Below are 27,831 nucleotides of genomic sequence, written 5' to 3'. Positions count from 1 at the left end.
CTAAAGATTTTAAATGTGGGGATAATTGCCCTATTTCCACAGCTTGAAATTCCAAGAATTGCTTCCCATTTCATATAAGATAAATTCCACTAACTGAAATCACATTCAAATGTCTCTGTACTTATTTTCCATCTTCCATTTCAGGCTCATCTTCAGCCAACTCCTTACTTCTATTCCTTCGAGTCTCACCTTATGTCTCATCTCCTACAGAGTCTTTTCTGACTCTTTCTCAAAGTTCTTACAAAGTGCTTCACCTCTATGCCCCCAGATGACCTTATACAACTTCTACCTCTACCACACCACCTAAAACCCCTGCCGTCTCCATACCAGACTGTGAGCCATTAAAGGAGTGGTATTGAGTCTCACTGGCCTTTAATTCCTAACACACAGCATAGTGTCCTGTTTTTTTGGTTTTTGTTTCTTTTTGACATGGAGTTTCACTTTTGTTGCCCGGGCTGGAGTGCCCTTGGCTCACTGCAACCTTCACCTCCCAGGTTCAAGCGATTCTCCTGTCTCAGCCTCCCAAGTAGCTGGGATTACAGGCATGCGCCACCACGCCTGGCTAATTTTGTATTTTTAGTAGAGACAGGGTTTCACCATGTTGGTCAGGCTGGTCTCAAACTCGCGACCTCAGGTGATCCACCCGCCTCAGCCTTCCAAAGTGCTGGCATTACAGGCGTGAGCCACCGTGCCCGGCCTATGGTGTCCTGTTAATTGGAGGTGCTCAATAAATGTTTAACTGAATAAAACAATTAATAAAGAGTACTTTGGGCCAATGTATCCTGAAAGAAAAGGTTGAACAGTTCAATTCTACACATATTCAGACCTTGTTATATGCAGTGCAGAGATCAGAATCCAACTTGCTTAATTTTTATTCCAATAATTTTACACAATACACTCACCACTATTGAGGTAGCCATAAGTATAGTGACTGCAAGCACAGAATCTGGCATCAGACTGTTCACATTACAGCTTCATCAGTAATATGTGATCCTGGGCAAGCTACTTAATCTCTCTGTGCACCAGTTTCCTCCTAAAAGAATACATATCTCACACGATTTTTGTTACAACTGAATGAGACAATAGTGTAAAGTTATTAGAACAGTGTTTGATACATGCTACACACTCAAAATGTTATTATTCAAAATATTAAGACAACCCTGAGTGGAATATTTTGACCTTGAAAGTTTCATTAAAAATAAACATGAAAGTAGAATAAGCTGTAGACCCTCTGCGGAAGAATTCCACTAGTAGGAACATGATTAGTTAATACTGAATACGTGTCTCAGAGACTGCGCTCCCCAATTACTAAACCTCAGCAACTGGCTCACAATCCAAGTCCTTGGCCAGGCTGCCCAGGGTTTAGTTTTCCATATTCCTACTACTCATCTTTTCCCTTTGATAGCTGAGGACATTTAAAAACTGTTTTTTGTTGGTTTGTTTTTTTTAATTTAACAATTGAGCTGGGAGAATACCCAGTGTTCAACCTAAAGAACTGAGTTCTGTTCCAGCCCCACCACTAGGTGATTTACTCTTAGCTGATTCCAAATCAGAAACATAATCAGCAAGGACTGGGGAACCTCCCACAGTACTTTCTCTCGCTGCTGTTTTCTCCACCCACACAAGTCCACCACTTTTAAAAGCATTTCTTCCATCTCGCTGGCCACATCTTCGTGGATGACAGCGCTGCCACTGTGCTTCAGAATCCTCTATCTCTCCCAGATCTTTCCTGGTGTTTCTCTCAGGGTCAGTGGCATCTAATCTTTGTGACTCTACTCCTGGTTTGAGTCCTCGGTTAACAGCCTTGGGGAAACTGTAACATAAACTGCAACGCTGTTGGTGCCGTTTCTTCTTAGACAGGGTGGCAGCGATCGCCTCCCCCCGCAGCCGGCCTTCCACTGCGCCAGCAAGACCCCCTCCCACCAAAACGCCGAGGGCTCCCAGAGCGCAGGCGCCCCGGGCCCCGCCCCTTTCCGAAGACTCGGCTCCTATTGGCCCAGGGGCCGGGGTTGGAACGCCCTAGTGGCCGGAGAGGGGTGATCATGTGACTTGCGGGGGTGGGGCTGCGCCGGCCTCTTCCCAGCCAGCTTGAAAGGGTTTGCGTAGCCGGCCTTGTGGGCCCTTGAAGCGCTCTGTTAAAGCGCTCTGTGGGCGGCCTGGCCCCAACTCCTCTAGTCTAGGCGCACGAAGGGAGTTGCTCCTAGGTCTTGTCCGTGCCGGGTTCGCTTTTCTTTCCTTCCCGAAGCCTGGCCCTTAGATCTACTATCGCAGAGTCTGCGGCCGCCAGGAAGCCCAGATTCGAGTGTCCGGAGAGTAACCGGAAGTGCTGTCCCCAGGCCTAGGGGCGGCGCCGGCGGCTGCCAGGGTAAGCGCGGCCTGCGGGGCCCAGGGGTGGGATGGGTGCGCGGTGGGACCCAAGACCCACGGCCACAGTCGAGTGGGAGCAGCCCCTGTTCCTGGACACTGAGCATGGTCTGGTCTCCGCTGACGGCGGACGGAGGACTGAAAGATGGTCAATGAAAAGTTGAAAGAAGAGAACCTTAGTACGGTAGTTCCTAGAGATAGTAAACACTGCAAGGCACTTTTCAAAGCAATATAATCTTTCATATATATCGAGGAAAAAAAGGACCTTGAATGGATTTTTCGCTTCATCTTCAGTGCAGAAATTAGTTATGTTGCAGTTGAATCTATCTGCAGAAAAATCTGGTTTGTTTAATCTTCCTATAACCATTTCTTTTTGGAAAATGGAATTACAGATAACTTTATATTATATACACTTATCACATGCACTTTGGGGTTTGTAGTGGTAGACGAATGGGTCTTTGATCTTAGGAGTTGAGATAATACAAACAAAAACAATTAGCAGAAGGAGAAAAAACAAACGAAAAACGAGGCTTAGGGCTTTGTTATGAAGTTACAGTTAGTAATAGAAAGATTCTTGACATTTTGTCTAGAGCTGGTCGGAACTGATGGCTACCAGTGGCAGGTACTTCCTGCAGGAGAAACAGTGTAAGCAAAGATGGGAAGAGGTAAGCTATGGTTGAAGGATGCTCACTAGAATGGAGAGGAAATGGGACCAGTTTTCTAGGCCAGCTCTAGAAAAATTATGAATTATAAATTTCACAAGGTCATCGTCTACATTATTGATTTTTCCTCTAGGAGAGGCAAGAATTGAGTGTTGTGAATAGTTCTGAACTAGAGACCTTTTGAAACCAAAAGGAAGATGGTCTTGAGTCTTTCTTGTTACGGTAAGTGGTATACCAGGCTCTGTTTCTGTATAAATGTGGATGGGGGTGTGGGGTGGGGCAGGGTGAAAGACAGGAAAGTATGGGAGAAGATATATGGAAAAAGAGAATGCCCCTTTCTTAGCTCCTAAGATAGCAGAGTGATAAAACTGAGCCCTATCCTACCAACTTAAGGCTATTTTCTACTCCTTTTCAACATGCATGCATATTCACATTAGGCTTGCAGTAATTGCTTTTTGATTGATTTGTAGCACAAAGAGGGTAGTATGCCTAATGCTTAGGCAGGCTCTGGAGTCAGAAGATAGGTATTGAAATCCTGGCTCTGCTGCTTACTATTTGTAAGTTGTTGGGTGATTATCTAACTGCCCTAAGCATCAGGTTTTCCATCTATAAGATCCAAACACTGGTATTAATACCTATTTCATAGGGTCCTTGGGAGGACTAAATGAGATAATCCATGTAATCAATGAAAAATAAATGAGAAATTTCCAAGTCTAAGGCCTATAAACACCATCTAATTTTTAAATAATGCTTTACTAACTTTGTCTCTTGGTCCCATATACCCTTTAAGGATAACCATGAACTCTCAAGTTGTATGAATTAGCCTGTCTGCTTGGACTTTTGTCGTGTTCCAGTTTATTCCTTTCACTTCGACCCTAGGCAGGAAAGAGTACTAGTCTCTTCCTAGGATGGGGCAAGAGAAGCATCCTGAAGGAGGGTACCCTGGAGCTAAGACTTGAAAGATGTATTTGGGCTTGCTAGATGAACCAGCCAGGGCTACTGGTCTAGTCTGTTATACAGCTACTGGGGGTCCAAGGATAATGATTGCCTTTTTGTTCTGGTATTTGTTCACACTTTTCATTTATTCAACAAATGTACTCTAGGTAGTAGGGATATTACAGTAAGCAAAAGACTAAGTCCTAACCCTAATAGAAGTTATATTTTAGTAAAAAGACAAACGAATAAATATAAAATGTATACCATAAAGTTGAATGGTGATAAGTGCTGTGGAGAGAAATAAAATGTGATAAAGCAACACAGGCTATTTTAGATAAGGTAGTCAGGGTATGCTGCTTTTTGAGGAAGTGATCTTCAGGCAGAGACTTGAGTCCAATAAAGGAGTAAGCTGCATGGGGAAGAGCATTCTAGGCAGAAGGAACAAGTGCAAAAGCTCGGAGATGGCCTGTGAGGCTGAAGATAACGCAGAGGTGCCACATTATGTAGAGCAGTAAAAACTTTGGATTTTATTCTGAGTGTGCTAGAAAACAGTATTTTAAATTAGGGAAGTGTCGTGATTTTTTTTTTTTTTTGAGATGGAGTCTTCGCTCTGTCATCCAGGCTGGAGTGCAGTGGCACAATCTCAGCTCACTGCAAGCTCTGCCTCCCAGGTTCACACCATTCTTCTGCCTCAGCCTTCCAAGTAGCTGGGACTACAGGCGCCCGCCACCACACCTGGCTAATTTTTTTGTACTTTTTAGCAGAGACGGGGTTTCACCGTGTTAGCCAGGATGGTCTCAATCTCCTGACCTTGTGATCCGCCAGCCTCGGCTTCCCGAAGTGCTCGGATTACAGGCATGAGCCACCACGCCCGGCCTTATGATCTGTTTTGAGGTTTGACACCCAGACTTATTTTTTAGGTGTTGACATCTAAAAAAAGCTTGGATATGAATAGGAAAATTATTTCCTTATTTATTCAGTTTTTTTTTTCTTCTTCTTAATGCCCCACACTTCATTGGTTGTTTAGGGCAAATAAGACATCTTGGACTGATAACTTTAGGGAATAATGTAAATGATTTGCCTGGCTGTGACAAAACTAAGAATCCTTTATTTTCACTCTATTCTCCTTTTGAGCTTAACACTAATACAAATTTTAAAAGACAAAACCTTTTATGAACCCCCCATCTTATAACAGCTATTTGTCTGTATCCCGGCATATCTTTACTTAGTTGTGATTCTGAGTTGGAATTCTTCCTTTTCCTTCTAATATTTCTCCATAATTTTTTTCTAGTTTTTGCATAATCTTCATATTAATCATTAACTGGCCAAATTGTTTTATTAGTTATTGCAAGTGGGTTTTGAACAAGGCTTTGCACAAGAATCAGGCATAGAAAATGGGCTTAATACATGTTAGTGGTTTTGTGCATGTGAAGGTAGAATTAAGAAAATAATAGAATCTACCATTTATTAAGCATCTACTGAGACCTAGGCATTGAGCTTAGTACCGGCAGTGTCTTTGTTCTCATAGCAACTCTGTGAGGAAAAAAGAGAATATTGAAGTTGAAGGAAATTAAGTTACTAACCCAAGTTCTCACAGCTACAAAGGAGGAGAGTGGGAATTTGAACCAAAATCTGCATCCAGAGCTTAAACTGTCAGTATTAACCACCAAAATAAACCAATCTTTAGCCACCATGTTTTTTGAAAACCAAAATAAAATACCTTTTAATTTTGAATAAGTACAGATATACAAAAAATTGCAAAATGGTACAAAGAACTCCCATATACCCTTCACTCATATGCTCTAAATGTTAACATTTTACCATGTTTGCTTTATGATTTTGCCTCTGTCTATTAAACAAACGTTTTAGTCTGTTTTGGGCTGCTATAACAGAATACCATAGACTGAGTAATTTATAATGAACAGAAATTTATTGGCTCATGATTCTGGAGATTCGAAAGTCCAAGACGGGGGCTGGCATCTAGTGAGAGCCTTCTTGCTGTGTCATTTCATGGCAAAAGGGCAAAGAGAGGGTGAGAGCAAGCAAGAGTGCTCAGAAAGGGACCAAACTCATCTTTTTGTGAGGAACCGACTCCTGAAATAATGGCATTAGTCTATGAGGGTGGTGCCCCTGTTACCTACATACCTCCCATTAGGATCTGTTTCCCGACATCATTGAATTGGGGATGAAGTTTCCAATGCATTAACTTTGGAGGACACATTCAAAGCATAGCAATACACATATACATATGTATAGATTTTTCCCTGAGCCATTTGAGAATAAATTGTAGACATGTCTCTTCTCAAACAGAGAATCAAGCCATGGAATCCTGCTCTCCTATGCATGTACAGTACTGCTAGCTACATGCCATCCCTAGGAGAACTGAGAAAACAGTCATTCGAATACATTTTCTTTGGGGACTTCTTTTCTAGAACCCTAATTGAGAAAGCCTGTCCTAAATATTCAGTTGTATATTTACTAAAAACAAGGATATTCTCTAGAAATTATCATTACCATTATCGGAGTCAGGAAATTAACATTCATACAATAAGTACTATTATCTAATCTCCAGACCTTATTCAAACTTAGCCAATTGCTCCACTCATGTTGTTTAAGACAAAAAGAAAAAAATGTTTTCTGTGGACCAAGATCTAATTCAGCATCAGTCATTTAATTTAATTATAATGTTGTCCCTATTGTGAACATATCTTCAGACTTTGTCTTTCATACCTTTGACATTTTTTGAATATTTAGGCCATTTATTTGGTAGTTTCCCTCAGTTTGGGTTTTTCTGATGTTCCCTCGTGATCAGATTCAGTTTAGACATTTTTGGCAAGATACCGCAGAAGTGATGTTATGTTTTTCTCTTTGCATCATATTAGGAGGCTCATGATGTTTTATCTCATTACTGGTCATGTTCACTTTAGTTGAGGATACCATTAGGTTAAGGTGGTGTCTTCCAGGTTTCTATACTGTGAAGTTACTCTTTTTATATTTATAATTATTAAATATCTAGTGGGGAGATATTTTCAGATTATGTAAATATCTTGATTCTCATAAAATTTTTCATCCAGTAGATTTTTGCACAGTACTCTTCTTTTGATTGAACATCGTGAAATTTTTAATTCCATCATTTCTTCTATATTTGTTTGCTTTTCTAATGCAAAAAAACTTTCCCTTCTATACACTTTTTTTTAATGAGTACAAATTCATGGATTCTTATTGTGTGACTAATTTATTACTGTTATTACTTATTTCAATGTTCTGCTTGTTCCAGATTTGTACAGTGGCAGTCCTTCCATCCTGAATTGTGGGTCCTTCTGGCATATTGCACCACTTTTTGAGCACTTCCTTACTTTCTGACACATCAGGATGGTCCAGGCTTATCTTATACTTTCCAAACCGTGGAAACAGCCATTTCTCCAAAGAGTCTTGATTCTTTTCAATGTAGAATGGTATTTAGAAACCCATGTCTGAATGCTTGGTATACTCATTACTACTAGGATTTTATTGTTTCCATGACTTCTCAGCAAACATTACTAGGAAAAAAAAATAAACATACGTAATTTCACACATATATACGTTTCTTTATTCTCTATATAAACCTTAAAATCTTGACTTATACTGGTACTTCTAATTCCAGTTAAACACTACAGAGTTCATTCTAGCCTTTCTCTTTTCTGTTTGTAGCCTTCTTCATTGACAATGGGGAATCTAGGTGACATTATCCATAGTATATTTACTTATTTATTCGGTCCTAGGATACACATTAAGTAGTGTACCCTTATCCCAACAGGGGAGAAAATCTGTACTGATTCGAGTTATTTTTATCTTTAGATTGAATATACATAGTCCCAATATTGTGTTAGAGTTATTTTTTTTTCTCTTCTGTGTAGTTGTTATTTATTTGAAACACAGGCGCATTTGTTTTTATGCTTTTCTCTTCCATCTTGACTATTTAGTTCATTAGTTCATTCATGTATTGAATATGTAAAATGTAACATAATTCTAAAAGTAAAAATATGTGTGCTGTGTATTCATATTCTCAGAGAAATGTGACTCTTCTCCTCCACCCAATTCTGTTTTCCTGTGCCATCAATTCCATTTTTATCTGCCTTGTAATGATAACCAATCTCATTAGTTTCTTGTTTTTTGGGGCAAGTGGAGAACTACATATATAATTTTTTATTTTTACTTTCTTACATAAAATACAACATACTTTTTTACACTTTGCTTTTTTAAATTTATAATTTATCCTGGAAATCACTCCACATCAGTTGATAAAGATTTTCCTCATTCTCTTTTACAGTTGCATAGTACTCCATTATGTGTGGATGTATGTACCATAGTTTATTCACCATTTTCTTACATACAGATATTTATTTTAAATATTTTCCCGTTACAAACATTACTATGAGTAATTTTATGCTTTATATTTTCATGTTATTGGAGGTGAATCTTCAGAGTCCATTTCTAGAAATGGGATTGCTGAGTCAAAAGTAAATGTATATCTAGTTTTGTTACATATTGCCACATTCCCCTCCGGACGAGATTGTACCCATATGCATTCCCTCCAGCAACGTATGAGTTTGTTTGTTTCCTTACAGTGTTGACCGCAAAATGCATTGTCATGCCTTTTAATGTATACTGATTTAATTGGTGATACTGGTATTTCATGTACTTTTAAAAAATTATTTCTTTTTTTATAGACTTACCAGTTTGCATTCCCTCCAGCAACATATGAGTGTGTCTGTTTCCTTACAGTGTCGACAACAAAATGCATTGTCATACCTTTTAATATATGCAGATTTAATTGGTGAGAACTGGTATTTCATGTACATTTAAAAAATTATTTCATTTTTTATAGACTTTATTTTTTAGAGAACTGTTAGGTTCATAGCAAAACTGAGCAAAAAATACAGAGAGTACCCATATGTCCCCTACCACTCTCTTTACCCTGACACATGCACATACCACACACATAGCACACACAGCATCCCCCGCTGTTAATCTCTTCAACAGAGTGATACATTTCTTACAATCAGTGAACTTAAGTTGATACATCATTGCCACCCAAACTCCATAGGTTACATTAGGGTTCACTCTTTATGTTGTACATTCTATGGGGTATCTACAATTTTTTTTTTTTTTTTGAGACGGAGTTTCACTCTTGTTGCCCAGGCTGGAGTGCAATGGTGCGATCTCAGCTCACTGCAACCTCTGCCTCCCAGGTTCAAGTGATTCTCCTTCTTCAGCCTCCCTAGTAGCTGGAATTACAGGCTCCTGCTACCAGGCTCAGCTAATTTTTTGTATTTTTAGTAGAGAAGGGGTTTCACTATGTTGGCCAGGCTGATCTCGAACTCCTCACTTCAGGTGATCCACCCGCCTCAGCCTCCCAAAGTGCTGGGATTGCAGGCATGAGCCACCATGCCTGGCTTGACTTGCCAGTTTTTTTAAACTGGTTTGTTTTCTTGTTGAGTTTTAAGGGTATATGTATATTTTTGTATATTTTGGAGATTTTTAAATGTTTGGAATAACAGTCTTTAATCAGATGTGTCTTCTGCAAATATTTTCTCCCAGTCTGTGGCTTGTCTTCTCATTCTCTAGACAGTTTATTTCATAGAGCAGACATTTTTAATTTTAAAGTCCAGCTTATCAATTTTCCTCCATGGATCATACCTTTGTTGTTGTATCTAAAAAGTCATTGCCAGCACAGGCATGGTGGCTCACGCTTATAATCCTAGCACTATGGGAGGCCAAGGTAGGCAGATCAGTTGAGCTCAGGAGTTCAATACCAGCCTGGGCAACATGGTAAAACCCATGTCTCTACCAAAAATAGAAAAAATTAGCCTGGAGTAGTGACACATGCCTGTGGTCCCAGCTACTCAGGAGGCTGAGGTGGGAGGACCACTTGATCCTGGGAGGCGGAGATTGCAGTAAGTTGAGATCGCACCACTGCACTCCAGCCTGGGACACAGAGCGAGACCCATCCCAAAAATATAAAGTCATTGCTATACCCGAGTTTATCTAGATTTTCTCCTATGTTATCCTCTAGAAGTTTTATAGTTTTGTGTTTTATACTTAGGTATCTGATTCATTTGGGGTTTGTAAATTTTTTTTAATTGAGAAGTAAGTATGTATGTATTTATGATGTAGAACATGATGTCTCAATATATGTATACATTGTGGACTGGCTAAATCAAGCTATTTAACATATATTACCTCACATACCATTTCTTGTGGTGAGAACATAAAATCTACTGTCAGCAATTTTCAAATATGCAATGTATTTTTATTAGGCATGATGTAGAACTCTAGAACTTACCTACAGTACAACTCTAGAACTTATTCCTCCTGTTTAACTGAAATTTTGTATCCTTTGACCAATTTCTTCCCAACCCTGCTATGTCTCAGCCTCTGGTAACCACCATTTTACCATCTGTTTCTATCAGTTAGACTGTTTTATACTCCATATGTAAGTGAGGTTATGTGGTATTCATCATTCTGTGTCTGTCTTATTTCACTTAACATAATGTCCTCCAAGTTCATTTATGTTGATGCAAATGAGAGAATTTTATTCTTTTTTTTTTTTTTTGCATGTGAATGTCTAGTTACTTCAGCACCATTTGTTGAAAAGACTGTCTTTTTCTGCCTTGTATTTATTGCCTTTGTTCCTTTATCATGGATCAGCTGACTCTATTTATATGGGTATATTTTTGGACTCTATTCTGTTCCATTTATCTATTTGTCTGTTTTTTCACCATTACCACACTTTCTTGATTACTATAGCTTTAGTCTTGTAACTTCAAATAGTATAGTAAGTGTTGAAGTTAGGTAGCATCAGTCCTCCAACTTTGTTCCTGCCCTTCAGCATTATGATCGCTAATCTAGGTCTTTTACCTCTTCATATAAACTTTGTATCAGTATGTCAATATTCACAAGATAATTTGCTGGGATTGTGTTGAATCTGTAGTACAAGTTGGGAAGAACTGACTATTTGACAATATTGAATCTTCTTATCCATGGATGTGGAATATCCCTCCATTTATTTAGTTCTCTTTTTTATTTCTTAGAGTTTTCAAATTTTCTTTGCATAAATTATGAACATATTTGGTTAGATTTATACTTAAGATGTTTTATTTTTTAGAGTGTTAATGTAAATGGTATTGTGTTTTTAATTTCAAATTTTACTTGTTCATTGCTGGTATAGAGGAAAATAATTGATTTGTATGTTAACCCTGTATTGTACAACCTTAACTGTAATCACTTCCTAGTCCCAGGAGTTTTTTGTCAATGATTTTTTCAGATTTTTACATATATGGTCATGTCACTTACAAAGACAGTTTTATTTCTTCCTTCCTAATCTCTATACCTTTTATTTCCTTTTCTTGTCTTGTAGCATTATCTCTCTATTCCAGTATTATGTTGAAAAGCAGTGGTGAGAGAGAACATTCTTACCTTGTTCCTGATGTTAGCTGAAAGCTTCTAAGTTTTCACCATTAAGTATGATGTTAGCAGTGGTTTTCTTGTAGATGTGCTTTATCAACTTGAAGAAGTTTCTCTTTGTTCCTAGTAATATCACTTATTTTAATTTGCATTTCTCTAATTATGAGATTGAACAGCTTCTCATATATTTAAGGGACATTTTTATATTTTGTGTGTGTGAGAATTGTCTTTTGCTTATTTTTCTATCAGATGTTTGTCGTTTTCCCTCAATTTTTAAGAGATCTTTATATATTAGGTATATTGTCCCTGTATCTCAAATATTGTTACAAATATTTTCTCTTAGTTTGCCCATTGACCGTTGACTTTGTTCATTTTTTATATATATAAAATGTTTTTGGCTGGCACAGTGGCGCACGCCTGTAATCCCAGCACTTTGGGAGGCTGAGGCGGGCAGATCACCTGAGGTCGGGAGTTCGAGATCAACCTGACCAACATGGAGAGACCCCGTCTCTACTAAAAATACAGAATTAGCCAGGCATGGTGGTGCATGCCTGCAATCCCAGCTACTCAGGAGGCTGAGGCAGGAGAATCACTTGAACTCAGGAGGCAGAGGTTGTGGTGAGCCAAGATCACGCCATTGCACTCCAGTCTGGGCAACAAGAGCGAAACTCAGTCTCAAAAAAAAAAAAAAAAAAATATATATATATATATATATATATATACACACACACACACACACACACACACACACACACACACATATGTATGTATATATAAAAGAAAACTTTAAAAAAAGTTTTTATTTTTAGTCAAATGATCAGTCTTACAGATAGAAAATTTTTGGTACCCTAAGATTAATGTAGAATTTACTTTAGTTTTCTTGTAGTATCTTATCATTTCCATGTATACATTTAGAACCCTAACCAATTGGGAGTTTATATTGGTGTGTGGTATGAAGTGTAGACCAAATTGTACCTATTTTCATGTGGCTACCTTGATGTTTTACCATCATTTATTAAAAAGTCCATTTTTGCCCTGGTGATTTGAGATGTCATCTTTATTGTATACTAAATTTCTATATGTGTTTATTTCTGGATTTCCTTTTCTATTTGTCCCTTTATCTAATTGTGTTTTGGAACTCTGTTGTTTTAATATTAGAAGCTTTAAAGTTTATTTTAATGTCTCATGGGTTTAGTTACCCTTCATAGTCTGTCTTTTCATTGCTTCATGGCTGTCCTTGTTGGTCTTTTCAAAGTGAACTTGAGTAGCAACTGTACAGCTTAGGCATTGGAGATTTTTCTTTAAAGGGCCAGAAAGTATTGTATTTAGGCTTTGGTGGCTATCTGGTCTCTATTGTGACTACTCAATTCTGCCTTTCAATACATTAATGAATAAGTATGACCCTATTTCAGTAAAATTTTATTTGAAAAAAACAGGTGGCAGGCCAGAATTGGCCTGTGGGCCATAGTTTGCCACCCCTTAGTCTAGTTTCATAAAGAAGCTTGTTATTTTTATTGAGATTGCATTGTTTATAAATCTTAGGAGGGAACATCTTCATAATGTTGAATTGTTCTATGCAAGAACAAAGGCTGTCCTTCCATTTATTCGAGTCTATTTTTGGGTCTCAGGAGGGAGAAGTTTTCCTATGCTTTATTTGGCATGGCTATGTTTTATTTATTTCTAAGTAGTTTTATATTGCTGCTGTTATACAAAGGTTGTTCTCTATCATTGTGTGTTCCAATTAGTTATTCTTTATATTTATGTAAAAAACTGGTGGTTTCTGTGTGGCAAATTTTATATCCTGCTACCATACTGAATTCCTTTATCATTTGAGTTAGTTTTAGCATTGGTCCTTTGTAGGGTTTTCTAATTCTACTATTAAATCACCTCCAAATAGAGATAGTTTTACTTCTTTCACACCTCTAATTGATTTTTCTAATTGCATTGATTAATACTTCCAGGTCAGTGATTGAAAAGAGAAGTATTGGCCATACTTGCCTTGTTCCTGATCTTAGTAAAAATTATTGTAGTTTTTCTAACTTAAGGTACTGGATGAAGGAATGTATGTTTTATCATATTAAAAGGAAATATCTATTAATTTCCACTTTCTTGAGTGTTTTTATCCAGAATAGATGTTGATTTCTGTTGCAGGTTCTTTCACTATCTATGGAGATAATATATTATTTTTCTCCATAGGTCTGTTCATATGGGGTATTATATTTAGTGGATTTCCTCATATTGAAAGATAGTCTAATTTTGAACCAATTTTGCAAAAATTCCACTTGGTCATGGTATATTATTTTCTTAATGTGGTATTGATTTTTGTTAGTATTTCTCACATTCATAAAAAATGTTAGCCAGGCATGGTGGTGTGTACCTATACCCCAGCTATTCAGGAGGCTGAGCCAGGAGAATTGCTTGAGCCTAGGAGCTTGAGGCTACAGTGGGCTATGATTGTGCCACTGCTCTCCAGCCTGGGTATCAGAGCAAGACCCCGACTCTTTAAAAAAAAAAAAAAAAGCGATATTGGATATTAAAATTTTTTTATGCTCTCTTCATCAGGTTTAGTTACCAGTGCTATCCTTATTTCACAAAAAGAATTAGGAAGTTGTGCTTCATTTTCGGTGCTCTGGAAAATATGTATGAAGCATTGTATTTATTTGGTCTGTGTAGATTTATAGAATTATTTCGTGAAATAATCTGGGCCTAGTGCTTTTTATGGAATGGTTCCTTTATAACTTTTTCTATTTATTCTCTGCAAATTGGTGTTTTAAGACTTTATATCTTTAATGGAGTCAACTCTAATAAATTGTGTTTCATAAAGAAACCCTTATTTTATAGTTAATCATATTTATTTATATAGAGATTTGCAAAGTGGTTTCATGTATGTGTGTTTTTCTTTTCGGTGGTTATTCTTCCTTGTCATTTCTTATTTTGTAAATGTGTGCTTTCTTCCTTTTTTTCAATTAAGTAACCTAGTGGTTTATCTGTTTCTTTAAGTTTTACAAAATAAGTATGATTTTGATTTATCATTAGATTTACTGTCTTTTTGTTCTCTAGTTCATTGATTTCTCCTTTTATCTATTTTTGTTATTATTTTGATTTTTTTTCCCATTAAAAAACAAAATAGAGACAGGATCTTGCTATGTTGTCCAGGCTGGTCTTGAACTCCTGGGTTCAAACAATCCTACTGCCTCGGCCTCCCAAAGCACTGGGATTGTAGGTATGAGCTACCATACCTACTTATTTATTTAAAATAGAAATTGGGTCTCATTAATATTGCCCAGGCTGGTCTTGAACTCCTGGGCTCAATTGAAATTTATTTTTTTCTTAGCTTTTGATCTAAGAATTTAACTTGTTCATTTAAATTCTTCTGTTTTTATTGATTAAAGAAATATAGGCATGAACTGGTTTAAATTTATCCCATAGATTGTAATATATAATATTTTCAATTATGAATACTTAAAAATTTTGTTAACTTTTTCATTGCCCCTTTTACTGAATAGTTTTTTAACAGTTTATTTTCCCCCCATTTGAAAGGACCTTTGGTCGCTTGATATTTTAATAAATTTCTAGTTTTGTTGCAGATTGTTTCTTGTAATGTTTCTTTGCGATAATGATGCTTCCTTTATTACATAATATATGACAGATTTTTGTGGATGATTCATGTGTTCTTAAAAAGAATGTGTACTTATCAGGACATACGGTTTAATATAAATAAGATTTACTTATTAATTAGGTTATTTAGGCCTTCTGCATCATTACTTCTTGGTCCAGTTTGTATGTCTTTTATTGAGAGTGGTATATTAAGCTTTCCTATTATTAATATTTTTATCTCTGTTTCTTTGTATCTGTTTCTCTGTTTTTCCTTTGTAAATGTGCCTGCTGTGTAATGTGATACATAGATAACCATGACTTTAGTGTAATTTAGAAAGTATTATTATGTTTAATTCTTTTGGCTTGAACTCTACTTTGCCTGATATCAGGATCAAAAGCCCTACTTTTATTGTTTCTGTTTGCCTAGTGTTCCTTTTCCCACCTCCTTATTTTTAGCCTGCCTGAATCACTTTGCTTTAGGTGTCTCTTGTATTTAGCATATAGTTAGGTCTTGCTTGTGAGCCAAAATGAAAATCTCTTTCTTTTAATAGGTGTGTTAAGCTCATTTATATTTATTGATATAGTTGATGTTTGGTTTTAACAATGTCATATTGTTATAACTGTATTTTGTTACTTTTTTTTCTACGATAGGTTTTCATAGCTCTTTCATGACTTTCTGTTTTGAATGTTTGATTTTTGTTATATTAGCTACTTTTGTACTTAGATTTATTTATTTATTTATTTATTTATTTATTTATTTATTTATTTTGAGGCGGAGTTTCGCTGTTGTTGCCCAGGCTGGAGTGCAATGGCCTGATCTTGGCTCACCGCAACCTCCACCTCCTGGGTTCAAGTGATTCTCCTGCCTCAGCCTCCCAAGTAGCTGGGATTACAGGGATGTGCCACCACACCCGGCTAATTTTGTATTTTTAGTAGAGACAGGGTTTCTCCATGTTGGTCAGGCTGGTCTCGAACTCCCGACCTCATATGATCCGCCTGCCTCGGTCTCCCAAAGTGCGGGGATTACAGGCGTGAGCCACCGCACCTGACCATACTTAGATCTTTTTTAATGCCTTTAGTTCATTAAAAAAATAAATTTTTATATTTAACCTTTAATTATTTGGTTTTTAAGGGTTTCTAAAATTTTTCTTTTCTAAAAGGCCATTTCAGCTTCAGATGGTTTTTTAGTTTAATAGTGTACTTTAATTCTCACCTGCCATAAATACAATATAGTAATCCCACCTTATTTGTGGGGGATATGGTCCAAGACTCCCAGTGTATACCAGAAACTGCAGATAGTATTGAACCCTAAATGGCTTTTTTTTTTCTATACATACTTACTGTGATAAAGTTTTTTGTACTTAGAGTGGGTTTTTCTTTCTGGCAATGAATTTTAGGTCAGTCTTGCCCACTGCTAGCTCTCTTCTCTTTACCTCTCATTCTCAGATTGTCCTTGCTCTCCTTGATAGCTTATGGCTAGAATGTGAGAGACAGCTATATGGGATTTGGTGACAGTGTGGGCTTTGTATAGTACATTTGTTCTTCTTATTCTTACTGCTTTTAAAGGATGTGTTGAGAGATTTGGATTTCTGTAGCCACTGTTATCCCCTCTGACTGTGTTTTATTACCACATTCTTTATATTTCCTCTAGAGATATTTTCCTTTTTTTTTTCATATTTAAGTCAGTTTTCTGTCCACTGACTTCCATGGCCAATTTTAAATAATTGGTGTGCAAACACCGCATGTTCTCACTTATAAGTGGGAGCTGAACAATGTGAACAGTTAGACACAGGGAGGGGAACAACACACACTGGGACTGTAGCAAGGTGCGGGGGGAGGGAGAACATCAGGAAAAATAGCTAATGCATGGTGGGCTTAATAACTAGGTGATGGGTTGATAGGTATAGCACATGTTTACATAGGCACACATTTACCTATGTAACAAAACTGCACATCCCGCACAGGTACCCTGGAACTTAAAATAAAAATAAATAAATAAATAGATAAATAAATAAATGGTGTGAAAACTTACAGGTTTTCTGAGAAGTCTCAGTTGACAATTACGTTTTACAACTTCCCTCACTTCTATATTTAGGGCTACACCGAGCTTAGGCCCCATACTGAAGAGGACCAAAAGGGGGAAAAAAAAGAAATAAAATCACTGCTGGTTGAATGGCATTTAAAATTCTGCTCTTTCCTGACTTGCATGCTATGTGCTTTTTGGAGTTGTCAAATAACTGGGCCATACATTCTGTCCAGACTTCATAGTTGGATTCAATGGGATGACATCTGTGACATGTATTTACTCCATCTTACCTGGAACTAGAGCCATAAAACATGTCATTTTAATACTAGCAGCTATAAGCTAAGTGTCATAGAGAGCCTCAGCTGTATGGCCCTATATGTTGCCTGGGTCCAAGTAGTTCCATTTTTGCTTCTGATCCTCAGTAGCAGGAAGGTTGTTGAGGGAACTGCAAGTCCCATTAACCTAAGGATAAGGCAGGTTAAAACTTCTAGAGAAAGACATCAATGGTTAAGTGTGGACTCTCTAACTTCTTTTTGTGCCCCTAATTGACCACCTCCTGGGTTGTTTGTGGTTGAAATATAAATCAGCTTAGGGTGTTATAAATTTTGAATTACCAAAATTGTGATGATTACGTGGGTTGCAGTGGTGGTAAGGTGGTAATTTTGTTATAATCCCAAAAATACTTTGTAGTCCCTATTACACTTTGGATCAGGACAGCCTGAGTTCCTGTAGGGAAGATAATGCCTTCGTGTTTTCAAGATACCACCAAGATTTAGTGTTAGGAGCCCTTTCCTTCAATGTTGTTATAGTTGCAAAGGAAGCTATAGATTGTGCAGATGGGTTATAGATTCTGTATTGTCCTTTTCTCTAAAGAGTCATATGGGATGATTTAAGACTCTACAGAATTGAATTTAAGGGATTAGATAAGAAAACCCATCTGTTCTTTTTAACTGTAGTTTACCCATTGTTAAATCCTTTGAGTGTAAATGATCTAGTGCTAAATTCTCTCATTTATGGCTTTTTATCCTTGTCTTTGTGTTTTACAGAATGCTATCTTCTTTGAGAAGTCAAATTGTCAGGATCAGGAATGTATGTTTTCTTCCATCTGGATTCTAGGTAAGCTGCAGTTACTTCAGTATTTTGAAGTATCCCTTCTCTTTCCCAGACTCCATCTCATCAGAGTACCTCCCATTCTTTGTGACATTCAGTCCTTTTATCAGACAAGGAGAGAAGTAGAATTTCAATGAGAATTCATACATGTACTCAGCAGATGCTTATTAAGCACCAACTTTGTACCTGGCATTACTGTATATGGTAAGGAAAGATAAAACAGACATCCTTGTCATATTTTAGCAATAGACAATAAACTGAATAAAGTGAATTATATAGTATGTTAGAAGGTTTTAAGTGCCATGAAGAAAAGTAAAGCAGAAAAGGGGAATAGTGAATGCTGGGGCATGAAGACTATTCACAACTTTAAACAGAGTGGTTAGGAAAGGCCTTCCTCAGAATTGACATCTGAAAAAATAGTCTTTGAAGGAATTAAGAGAAATTCATACACACATCTGGAGGAAGAAAGCTGTAGGCAGAAGAAAGAAAGGGCAAAGGCCCTAAGGATAGTATGTTTGGATGAGGAACAGCTAGGAAGCCATTGCGGCTGGATTAGAACATGCAAAGAGAAGAATAATATAAAAGGGTGTCAGAGAGGCAGTGACAGGCTAGCAGGGCAGCTCAAGTGGGCCTCTTGGGCTATTGTGAAAGTAAGAAATAAGAGTGGTTTGGACTGGAATGTAACAACAGAAGCTGGTGAGAAGTGGTTAGACTCTGGATGTGTTTTGAAATGGAGCCAACAAATTTGCTGATGGCTTGATTGTGAGGTGTGAGAAAGAAGAGTGCAGGATGACTTCAAGGTTTTAGCCTGAGGAAATAAAGGATGAACTTGCCATAAACTGAGATGAGGCAGGTGATAGGTGGAGTAGATCTGGAATCCAGCCCCAGTATAAGTCCTTTGCTCACTTCCTTTGACTATAAGGCAAAAACAGATACTTGCCATTTAGCTCTGTAAACTGAATTTAATAAAAGAAAATAGGAGTAATGCTTGTGATACGTTAGGCTTTGAGGATTGAGATTATGACGGTGACAGAGTATACTGTGGACTTGTAGTCTAAGGAGTTCTGTGATACCGTGAAAGTCACCTGAAAGATGTAATTTGGACCAAAAAAAAGTAATTTCTAGGACAGTTCATAGATCATGGAGATATGCTCAAATATTTCTGAAGGGGGCCTACCCCTCCACACCTGTGGGTATTTCTTGCAAGGTCCTGTGGGTAAGGTGGAGACGAGAGACTGAGAAAAGAAGACAAAGAGAGACAAAGACAGAGACAAAATATAGAGGAAGAAAAGTGGGCCCAGGGGACCGGCGCTCAGCAAGTGAGGACCTGCACCAGCACTGGTATCTGAGTTCCCTCAGTATTTATTGATCACTCTCTCACTATCTTGGTGAGGGGGATGTGGCAGGACTATAAGGTAATGGTGGGGAGAGGGTCAGCAGGAAAACATGTGAGCAAAGGACTCTGTGTCATAAATAAGTTTAAGGAAAGGTGCTGTGCCTGGATGTGCACATAGGCCAGATTTATGTTTGACTTTACACAAACATCTCAGTGCAGTGAAGAGCAGTATTGCCTCCAGCATGTCTCACCTCCAGCCATAAGGCGGTTTTCTCCTATCCAAGTAAATAGAATGTACAATCGGGTTTTACACCGAGACATTCCATTCCCAGGGATGAGCAGGAGACAGATGCCTTCCTCTTATCTCAACTGCAAAGAGGCCTTCTTCTTTCACTAATCCTCCTCAGCACAGACCCTTTACGGGTGTCGGGCTAGGGGACGGTAAGATCTTTCCCTTCCCACGAGGCCATATCTCAGGCTGTCTCAGTGAGGGGAAATCTTGGACAATACCCAGGCTTTCTTGGGCAGAGGTCCCTGCGGCCTTCCACAGTGCATTGTGTCCCTGGGTACTTGAGACTGGAGAATAGCAATGACTTTTACCAAGCATACTGCTTGCAAACACATTTTTACCAAGGCACATCCTGCACAGCCCTAAATCCATTAAACCTTGAGTCAATACTGCACATGTTTCTGCGAGCACAGGGCTGGGGCTAGAGTTACAGATTAACAGCACCTCAAGGCAGAAGAATTTTTCTGAGTACAGATCAAAATGGAGTTTCTTATGTCTTCCTTTTTCTACATAGACACAGTAACAGTCTGATCTCTCTTTCCCCCACATATTTGAAATGTAGGATTTTAATCACTGTATTTAGCATAAACATGTCTGTTTTGTTTAGCTTGTCTACTTCAGTTTTGACTTCCCTATTCTTGTTAGCCTTGCAGTGCATTTTTCTCCCATTATGTCCCGCGGTGGTCACAATACTACATTTCTTGTGGATCTGTGTTTTGACTCTGAAGAAATTGCACTACTCCCACCTCATTCAGTTCTTTCTCCTATCCCTTTAAGTTTTAGAACAGTTCTGAGTTGACATTTGAAATCTTGGTATATCTTTTTATATTTATAAATAACTTTTACTTACTACAATAAAATTGAGTAAAAGTAGCAGCCTCTGTGCCTTTCGCAAGGAAAGCATACAAATTGCTGAATGGAAATTAGAAAACTGTTGTTAACAAATTGATGAAACAGAATGTTATGTATCATCTCATTACCCAGAGGTAACCATGTTAGTACCATGTGTTTTGGATCCTTTTGACTTCCTGTTTTCTCTGAGTGCACATGTTCCTTTGTGTTCTGGTCCATTACACTTACTAATTTGCTGTATTCAGTGAGCTTTAATATCATTTCCTTTACAAATAGGCTCCAATCTAATATCTAGTTTCTTGGATTCTGGACCTTTTTGATAATTTAAGAAACCGTGTACCTTCTCCCCAGAAAAGTGCACATATACTGTACATTTTGCAGTCAAAGTTTTCATAAATTACCTGGGAGTCTGTGGATGCCAAGTAAGAACTCCTCTTCTAGGTTTGAGTGCCTACTCTGTGCCAGGCACTTTTCTGAGTGCTGGGGAAACAATAGTGAATGAAGTGAGCCAAAAATCCCTGTCTTTTAGGGGCTTACATTCTATGGAGAAAAACAAAATAGGAAAGGAGAGGAGTGTTGTTTTTGTGAGTCAGCTGGGACGGAGATGTGGTACAGTTTAGAATAGGGTGGTTGGAAATGACTTCACTGAGAATATGCCTGTTGAGCAAAGATGTGAATGAGGTGAGAGAGAGAGCCTTGAAGATTCCTGGAGGAAGAGCCCTTCATCCAGGAAGAGATATCAAGGATAAAGACCCTGAAATGGGAGTGAGTCTGGCTTGTTTGAACAACAGCAAAGACTCAGGGTGACTGGAGTGCAATGAGTAAGTAGAGGAAGAGCAGAGAAATGGATCAGAGTAGTAACTACGAGTCAGATTTCTTAAGAGCTTGTAGGTTTCTAACAGAAGCAGTTTTGGTGGAGTAGTGAGGGTTGATTGTTTAATTGGAGTATGTTCCAGAAACCTTGGAAGACAGAATTGGAGACAATGAGCAGGTTTATTTATTTCAAAGCGTTTTACTGCGGAGAGGAACAGAGAAATGGGACAACAGCCTGAGTGTGAGGCAGTTGAGAGGTTTTTCTTGTTGATTGTGCTTTTGTTTTTGAGAAGAGAAATAATATTGGAATGGTCCAATACGAAGGAATAAATTGATAATGCAGGAGAGGGAGGGTGGAATTGCTAGAGTGATGTCCTTGTGAACAAAGGGGGTATACAGATGGAAAGGCTATCCTTAGATTGAGCAAGGAAGTTTGTCATCCCTGGTAGCTGAAGGAAAGATGCAGTACGTGACCACACTTACAAGAGGTTGGTTGATGTGGTGGGGGCATGTGGAAAGGATTTTGGTTTTTGTGTATGTGTTGTTGTTTTGCTTGCTTGCTTCCATTTTCTTGGTAAAATAGGAAGCAAAATTATCAGGTTATACTCTTTAGGTGACAGACGAGGGGTCTGAATGTATGAGGGAGGGTCAAACATGAAAAGATCACTGAAGAGAGTTAAGTGTGAAGGATATGGAAAATGGCTTTTTTTCTTCCTTTTATTTCTGTTCTTTAGTCTATTTTTGGTAATTGATAAATGCATTGACTTATTACTCCCTCTGAACTCTCTTGTATCAACCTAACTTTTTTTTAAGATACTTGATCCTTTAGGTGTTTCTGTATGTGTACATACCTCTAAACCACAGAATGAGGAGGAAAAAACTTTTTTTTACAACTTTTCACCATGTAAAGAAAAGCCTGTTATAAAATCTATGTTCCAAGCCTAGACTTGTATCTATAATCAGTCAGGATTTTTCTTTTTGAGCAAGTTATGTGCTTATATAATCATATCAAAGCAGAATCTTAAGCCCCTTTGTCATAATAACAGTGATAGTAAGAGCCAAAACAGAGGGCTTACCAGGAGATTCATAGCGATTTAATATTCCACAGAACCGTGTAAGGTAGTTTCTATTATTAATCCACTTTACAGATGAGGAAACGAGGCATACAGTGGTTAAGAAACTTGCCTGATATCACCACTACGAATTAGAGTCATAGAAACCTTACTTTTCTCTCTGGTCACTTGGAATTCTAATGATCATTAACTACTTTCTTCCAAGCTTTCTGCAGAAAGGACTCCAGAGATACTCATTCACTGTCCCTTTTGATTTGCTTTCTTCATGAGCAGGCATAATAATTATTAGTCTTGTCTTGATTTCTCAACTGAAGCAAGGAAAGATGAAGAGCTCTTGTTTAAAATTACCCAGATTCATAGAGAAAAGAGTTCTTACTTGCAGTTTCCCATATGTATTGCTGATCAGTTTTATATTAGCAAAGAGTAAAAGTAAATAACTGATTTCAAGCCATATAAAACCTAGAAGACTTAGGGACTCTGATACAGAGTTTGTCTTTTCTGCAGTGATTTTAATTTTGAGAATTCTTTTCTTAGTCATAGGAATATAAATAATATTTCTACTTTGTCTCACAGGGTTGGAAATACCAAGTAAGGAATTAACATATATGATGCTGGAAACTTGTAGAGGCTCATGATTGAAAGGCCTGAAACAGATGTATCTTCCAAGTTCTTATCAAGAAAATGACTGTGAGGGCAACGATGGGTCAAGAAGACCAGCGGAAAACTCCCTAGGAGAGAGCCATAGAAAATGTACACTTCAGAAGAGAAATGTAATCAGAGAACTCAAAAAAGGAAAATATATAATGTATGCCCTCGGAAGGGTAAAAAGATTTTTATTCATATGCATGAGATTATTCAGATAGATGGTCATATATACCAGTGCCTTGAATGCAAGCAAAACTTCTGTGAAAACTTAGCTCTTATTATGTGTGAGAGAACCCATACTGGGGAGAAACCTTATAAATGTGATATGTGTGAGAAAACCTTTGTCCAAAGCTCAGATCTTACTTCACACCAGAGGATCCACAATTACGAGAAACCTTATAAATGTAGCAAATGTGAGAAGAGCTTTTGGCATCACTTAGCGCTTTCAGGACATCAGAGAACACATGCAGGTAAAAAATTCTATACATGTGACATTTGTGGCAAGAATTTTGGTCAGAGTTCTGATCTGCTTGTCCACCAGCGAAGCCATACTGGCGAGAAACCATATCTATGTAGTGAGTGTGACAAATGCTTCAGTAGAAGTACAAACCTCATAAGGCATCGAAGAACTCACACAGGTGAGAAACCATTTAAGTGTCTCGAGTGTGAAAAAGCTTTTAGTGGGAAATCAGATCTTATTAGCCACCAGAGAACTCACACTGGGGAAAGGCCCTACAAATGTAATAAGTGTGAGAAAAGTTACCGACACCGTTCAGCCTTCATTGTACATAAAAGAGTTCATACTGGGGAGAAGCCCTATAAGTGTGGTGCCTGTGAAAAATGCTTTGGCCAGAAATCAGACCTTATCGTGCACCAGAGAGTCCACACAGGTGAGAAGCCGTATAAATGCCTGGAATGTATGAGAAGTTTTACTCGGAGTGCCAACCTAATTAGGCACCAGGCAACTCACACTCACACTTTTAAATGCCTTGAATATGAAAAAAGCTTTAACTGTAGCTCAGATCTTATTGTACATCAGAGAATTCACATGGAAGAGAAACCACATCAGTGGTCTGCGTGTGAGAGTGGCTTCCTCCTAGGAATGGACTTTGTTGCCCAACAGAAAATGAGAACTCAAACAGAGGAGCTACACTATAAATACACTGTATGTGATAAAAGCTTCCACCAGAGTTCAGCCCTTCTTCAACATCAGACAGTACACATTGGTGAAAAACCGTTTGTCTGTAATGTGAGTGAAAAAGGTCTTGAGCTTAGCCCTCCCCATGCGTCAGAAGCCTCACAGATGTCTTGACCAGGCGAGAAGCTGTAATACCAATATTAAAAATTATTTATGTATCAGAGAACTCATTAAGATGAGGACAAATCTCAGACTTTGCTCAGAGCTCAGAATTCAGTGGGGACCAGAGAGCCTGCAATTGGAAATATGAGAAATTCTTTGCCCAGAGAGCTGCCCTAACAGAACACTTCATCCTCACTCCAACGAGAAATCTACAGATGCCCAGAGGTTTTGAAAACTTACCGTCTGAGCTCAAATTTGATCACTCACAAGAGGATTCATACAAGTGGGAAACCTTAGAAATGCACTGAGTGTGAGAGAGCTTTCTACTAATGCTCAGCCCTTCTCGTTGTAAGAGAATTCACACCGGAGAACAACTTTTTAAATGCCTTCAGTGTCAGTTGTGCTGCAGACAGTATGAACATCTCATTGGACCTCAGAAAACCCACCCTGGGGAGAAGCCCCAGCAAGTGTGAAAAAAGCTTCTAACAAAACTCTGACTTACCCATCAGAGAAGCCATACTGGTGAAAAATTGTATATTTGTCTTAAGTATGGCAAAAGCATTCGTTGGAGAGCCTTACTTGGGTTTGCACCCAAAAAAAAAAACCCAATCTGAGGAAAGACTGCAAGTGTCTGAATGAAGAGTGCTTGTCAATGATCAACTCTTGTGGTACATCAGGGAACTCACATAGGTGAAAAAACCCATACTTACCTTGAGTCTGAGAAAACCTTTGGTAGAAGCTCCTGTCTTATCAGGCCCCAAAAAACCTGTTCTGCAGTGAGAGATTTAATTGTGGGTGAGAATCTATGTACATATAATATGTATGAGAAGACTGTTCTCATAGTTAGTTGACTCATATGGTAGAGAGGACTTTACATGAAATCAGTATGAAAATAGTTTTTTAGATACCCAGAAGCTTGTTCTGGGAGAAGCTAGGGTGGGTCAGAGTAGACCTGATGGGTAACTCAGGTAAAGATGCTTTTCTTTTATCTGAACTACTTAATGATTGCTTTACTTTTACTTTTTAAAAAATTCAGAAATCCAATAAAGGAAAGGACGGTAACCTTATGATAGAAGGTGTGGCATGTGTTACTGTTGGGGGAAAGGAGTATATTGACTTTGCCTTGGTTGATATTTTTATGCTTGTCTAGGATGGGACTAGAGTGTTGATAGTAACATGGCAGCCTTTTGCTGGCAGTGAAATGAACTTAAGAAGCTAGGGAGTAGCTATCCTAGATCAAAACTCTCCTAATAGTTTTTCCTTTGCAGGACCAATCTTATAAAGAAACAGCATACTCAGCTTTTTACTTAGTGTCAGTTGAGGCATACTCTCAAAAGTTTTTTCCCCTAAAATATCTTTCAAGTTATTACTGGTATTTGAAATTTCAAGTTTAGAAATTCATTTCTTTTTAACTCAAAGTGCAAATTTCATATAATGATTATGATGGTTTTAGTGTCCATATTTTTGTGGCTTCACTTATCATCTCTTTCAGCAGTAGCTACCCACAGTCAGCTCCTAGTAAAATGGCTACAGGAAAACTGAAAGAAAAGTTTAAGCCTGAGTAGGCATAGAGTAAAAAATGCATAATGATGCATTATTAATATAAGAGTAAGGCTTTTTTTATTTTGAGTATCCTAACTCCAAACCTAGTGTTCTTTTCACTCCATTATCCTGCTGTTTATAGCAAATCAAGACCCATAATGATACGTCTTTCATTTATTTCAGTTCTGCCAAGGAAAGAGAAAATACCTTTTAATCCCAGGGAAAGGATTGCAATCACCACATTATAAGGTATATGGCGTGGAATGCAGAATTCTAAATACTAGAAGGGAAAAGTAGTTGGCAGATTCATCAGAGGCTTAAGGATAAGTACTTGTTTCCAATTTAAAAGTATAATTAGGATTGTCTTTAATGTTCTCTAGAAATACTATAATTAATCTAGAGATCTATCAATGGTCACATCTCAGTTTTTTTCTTCCCTGAGATTCAAAGACGTGTAATACCAATACTTCAGATTCCTATAGTATTTGGGACTTTGTAGACTAGTGAATAGATACTTTGTTGCTAGTCCAAATCCTCTGATTTTGGTTTGATTTGTCCTAGCAGATCCCTGAACTTCAGAGAGTATTGCCATTTGGATTCATGGAGTTGGCGAACTGCTACACTGCTACCTTGTGTATGGCTCTAAGCTTTGATCCTAATGACTGGTTGATGATCATGATAATATTAGGGCCAGTGAATATAGCTCATAGTGATAATAAGGATTCTAGGGTATTTTTTTTTCTTTTAGAAAAAGATCCTGGAAGTTTATTTGATCTGACATGTTTTTGTAATATTTAGAAATAGCTCTTGTATCATAAAAAGTTGCCCAGTATAAGACACACAAGATGTATTTTTTTTCTCTGGTGAAAATCATGCCTATCACTAGTATATGTTTGACATTTGTAGTATACTTAAAATAGTATTGGGTGTGAGGCATGGTGGTGATGAAAAGTAGTCCTTACGGCTACTTGTTAGTCATTAGAGAGAACATGGAGAAGGGGTCAAAGTTGGTATCATTAACAGGGCAATGACTTGACCCTTCTTTCAACTGATCTTACTGGTAGTTGTCTCTAGTTTTTAAGTAAATTAATGATGGACCATCCCCCAAACAGAGAACTATGGGGGTATGAAACAAGGCTGAAGGCTTTTAACCATGGGAGAAAAAGGTGTTGGTATTATTCATATAGCATAACCTGAGGTTGGAGAGGACCACTTGGGAGCCTGTAACCAAAACTAGAAGGTAACTTCTGGGATGGACGGAGGTTCCCTTGAAGCAGTGCCAACCTAAATCTACCTCAGGTAAGTAGTTAGATTAACTTTTTCAAGATTTCAGACCAAACAAGACAACTTGTATTCAGTTGATGTATTCCTATGCTTTAATGTTTTTGTTTGCCCTTAATTATTAAATAAACATTTGTTCTGAAAAACTCCATTTCCGTCTCCACTGTACTGAGAGAAACAGCATTTCCTCTACACTTGGATTAGAATGAAGTGGTTAATAATGTGATACTTAGACATGGAGGTAGAGATAACCACTGGACCATCTCTATAATTCCAGCAATTTTGGATGCCGAGGCAGAGAGGAACAGAAGGAATATTGTCTATGCTCCGCTGTGGACATTGCATCCTTTTGGAACCTCTGCACCACATTCCATAAATGGGGCTAATAGTTTGAACTGACCATGTTTGAGGCCCTGCTGAAATTCATTAGCAGCAAAACCATCTATGGTTTTTTTGTGTGAGTGACCCCCTCAAAATTAGGGAAGATTTTACATTTATAATTCCTAGTGAAATCCACATTTGGTTCCAATTCTTCCCTCTTGGTCTTATTTGTTGAATT

General features: G+C 37.9%; 1 protein-coding gene across 4 annotated transcripts, besides 6 other annotated features; it reads left to right on the top strand.

Moving 5' to 3' along the window:
• Positions 1,629–2,129: an enhancer, noted in NCBI's record as "H3K27ac hESC enhancer chr6:26659905-26660405 (GRCh37/hg19 assembly coordinates)". NCBI's record gives its function as "activates a minimal SCP1, AML or CMV promoter by ChIP-STARR-seq in primed H9 embryonic stem cells {active_cell/tissue: H9 hESC(primed)}" and the evidence as "EXISTENCE:reporter gene assay evidence [ECO:0000049][PMID:30033119]".
• Positions 1,650–1,849: an enhancer, noted in NCBI's record as "active region_24255". NCBI's record gives its function as "activates an Ori minimal core promoter by ATAC-STARR-seq in GM12878 lymphoblastoid cells {active_cell/tissue: GM12878}" and the evidence as "EXISTENCE:reporter gene assay evidence [ECO:0000049][PMID:35858748]".
• Positions 1,870–1,929: an enhancer, noted in NCBI's record as "active region_24254". NCBI's record gives its function as "activates an Ori minimal core promoter by ATAC-STARR-seq in GM12878 lymphoblastoid cells {active_cell/tissue: GM12878}" and the evidence as "EXISTENCE:reporter gene assay evidence [ECO:0000049][PMID:35858748]".
• On the top strand, positions 2,060–27,423 carry ZNF322 (zinc finger protein 322). Of its 4 annotated transcripts, NM_001242797.2 has the most exons (5): positions 2,060–2,365; positions 2,955–3,029; positions 3,160–3,248; positions 18,078–18,147; positions 23,078–27,423. In NM_001242797.2, the coding sequence occupies exon 5, from the start codon at positions 23,253–23,255 to the stop codon at positions 24,459–24,461; it is 1,209 nt and encodes a 402-aa protein (NP_001229726.1). In that variant the 5' UTR covers positions 2,060–2,365; positions 2,955–3,029; positions 3,160–3,248; positions 18,078–18,147; positions 23,078–23,252; the 3' UTR covers positions 24,462–27,423. The 4 variants fall into 4 exon arrangements, with proteins under 4 accessions (NP_001229726.1, NP_078915.2, NP_001229728.1 ...); NM_024639.5 differs by lacking the exon at positions 2,955–3,029; NM_001242799.2 differs by lacking the exons at positions 2,955–3,029; positions 3,160–3,248.
• Positions 2,130–2,630: an enhancer, noted in NCBI's record as "H3K27ac hESC enhancer chr6:26659404-26659904 (GRCh37/hg19 assembly coordinates)". NCBI's record gives its function as "activates a minimal SCP1, AML or CMV promoter by ChIP-STARR-seq in primed H9 embryonic stem cells {active_cell/tissue: H9 hESC(primed)}" and the evidence as "EXISTENCE:reporter gene assay evidence [ECO:0000049][PMID:30033119]".
• Positions 2,160–2,349: an enhancer, noted in NCBI's record as "active region_24253". NCBI's record gives its function as "activates an Ori minimal core promoter by ATAC-STARR-seq in GM12878 lymphoblastoid cells {active_cell/tissue: GM12878}" and the evidence as "EXISTENCE:reporter gene assay evidence [ECO:0000049][PMID:35858748]".
• Positions 2,360–2,409: an enhancer, noted in NCBI's record as "active region_24252". NCBI's record gives its function as "activates an Ori minimal core promoter by ATAC-STARR-seq in GM12878 lymphoblastoid cells {active_cell/tissue: GM12878}" and the evidence as "EXISTENCE:reporter gene assay evidence [ECO:0000049][PMID:35858748]".
• Positions 27,424–27,831: the final 408 nt, after the last annotated feature.

The sequence above is a fragment of the Homo sapiens genome, chromosome 6, assembly GCF_000001405.40.
Source record: "Homo sapiens chromosome 6, GRCh38.p14 Primary Assembly".
Lineage (NCBI taxonomy): Eukaryota > Metazoa > Chordata > Mammalia > Primates > Hominidae > Homo > Homo sapiens.
The sequence above is the reverse complement of the archived record's forward strand: the minus strand, read 5'-3'. Positions and strand labels throughout refer to the sequence as shown.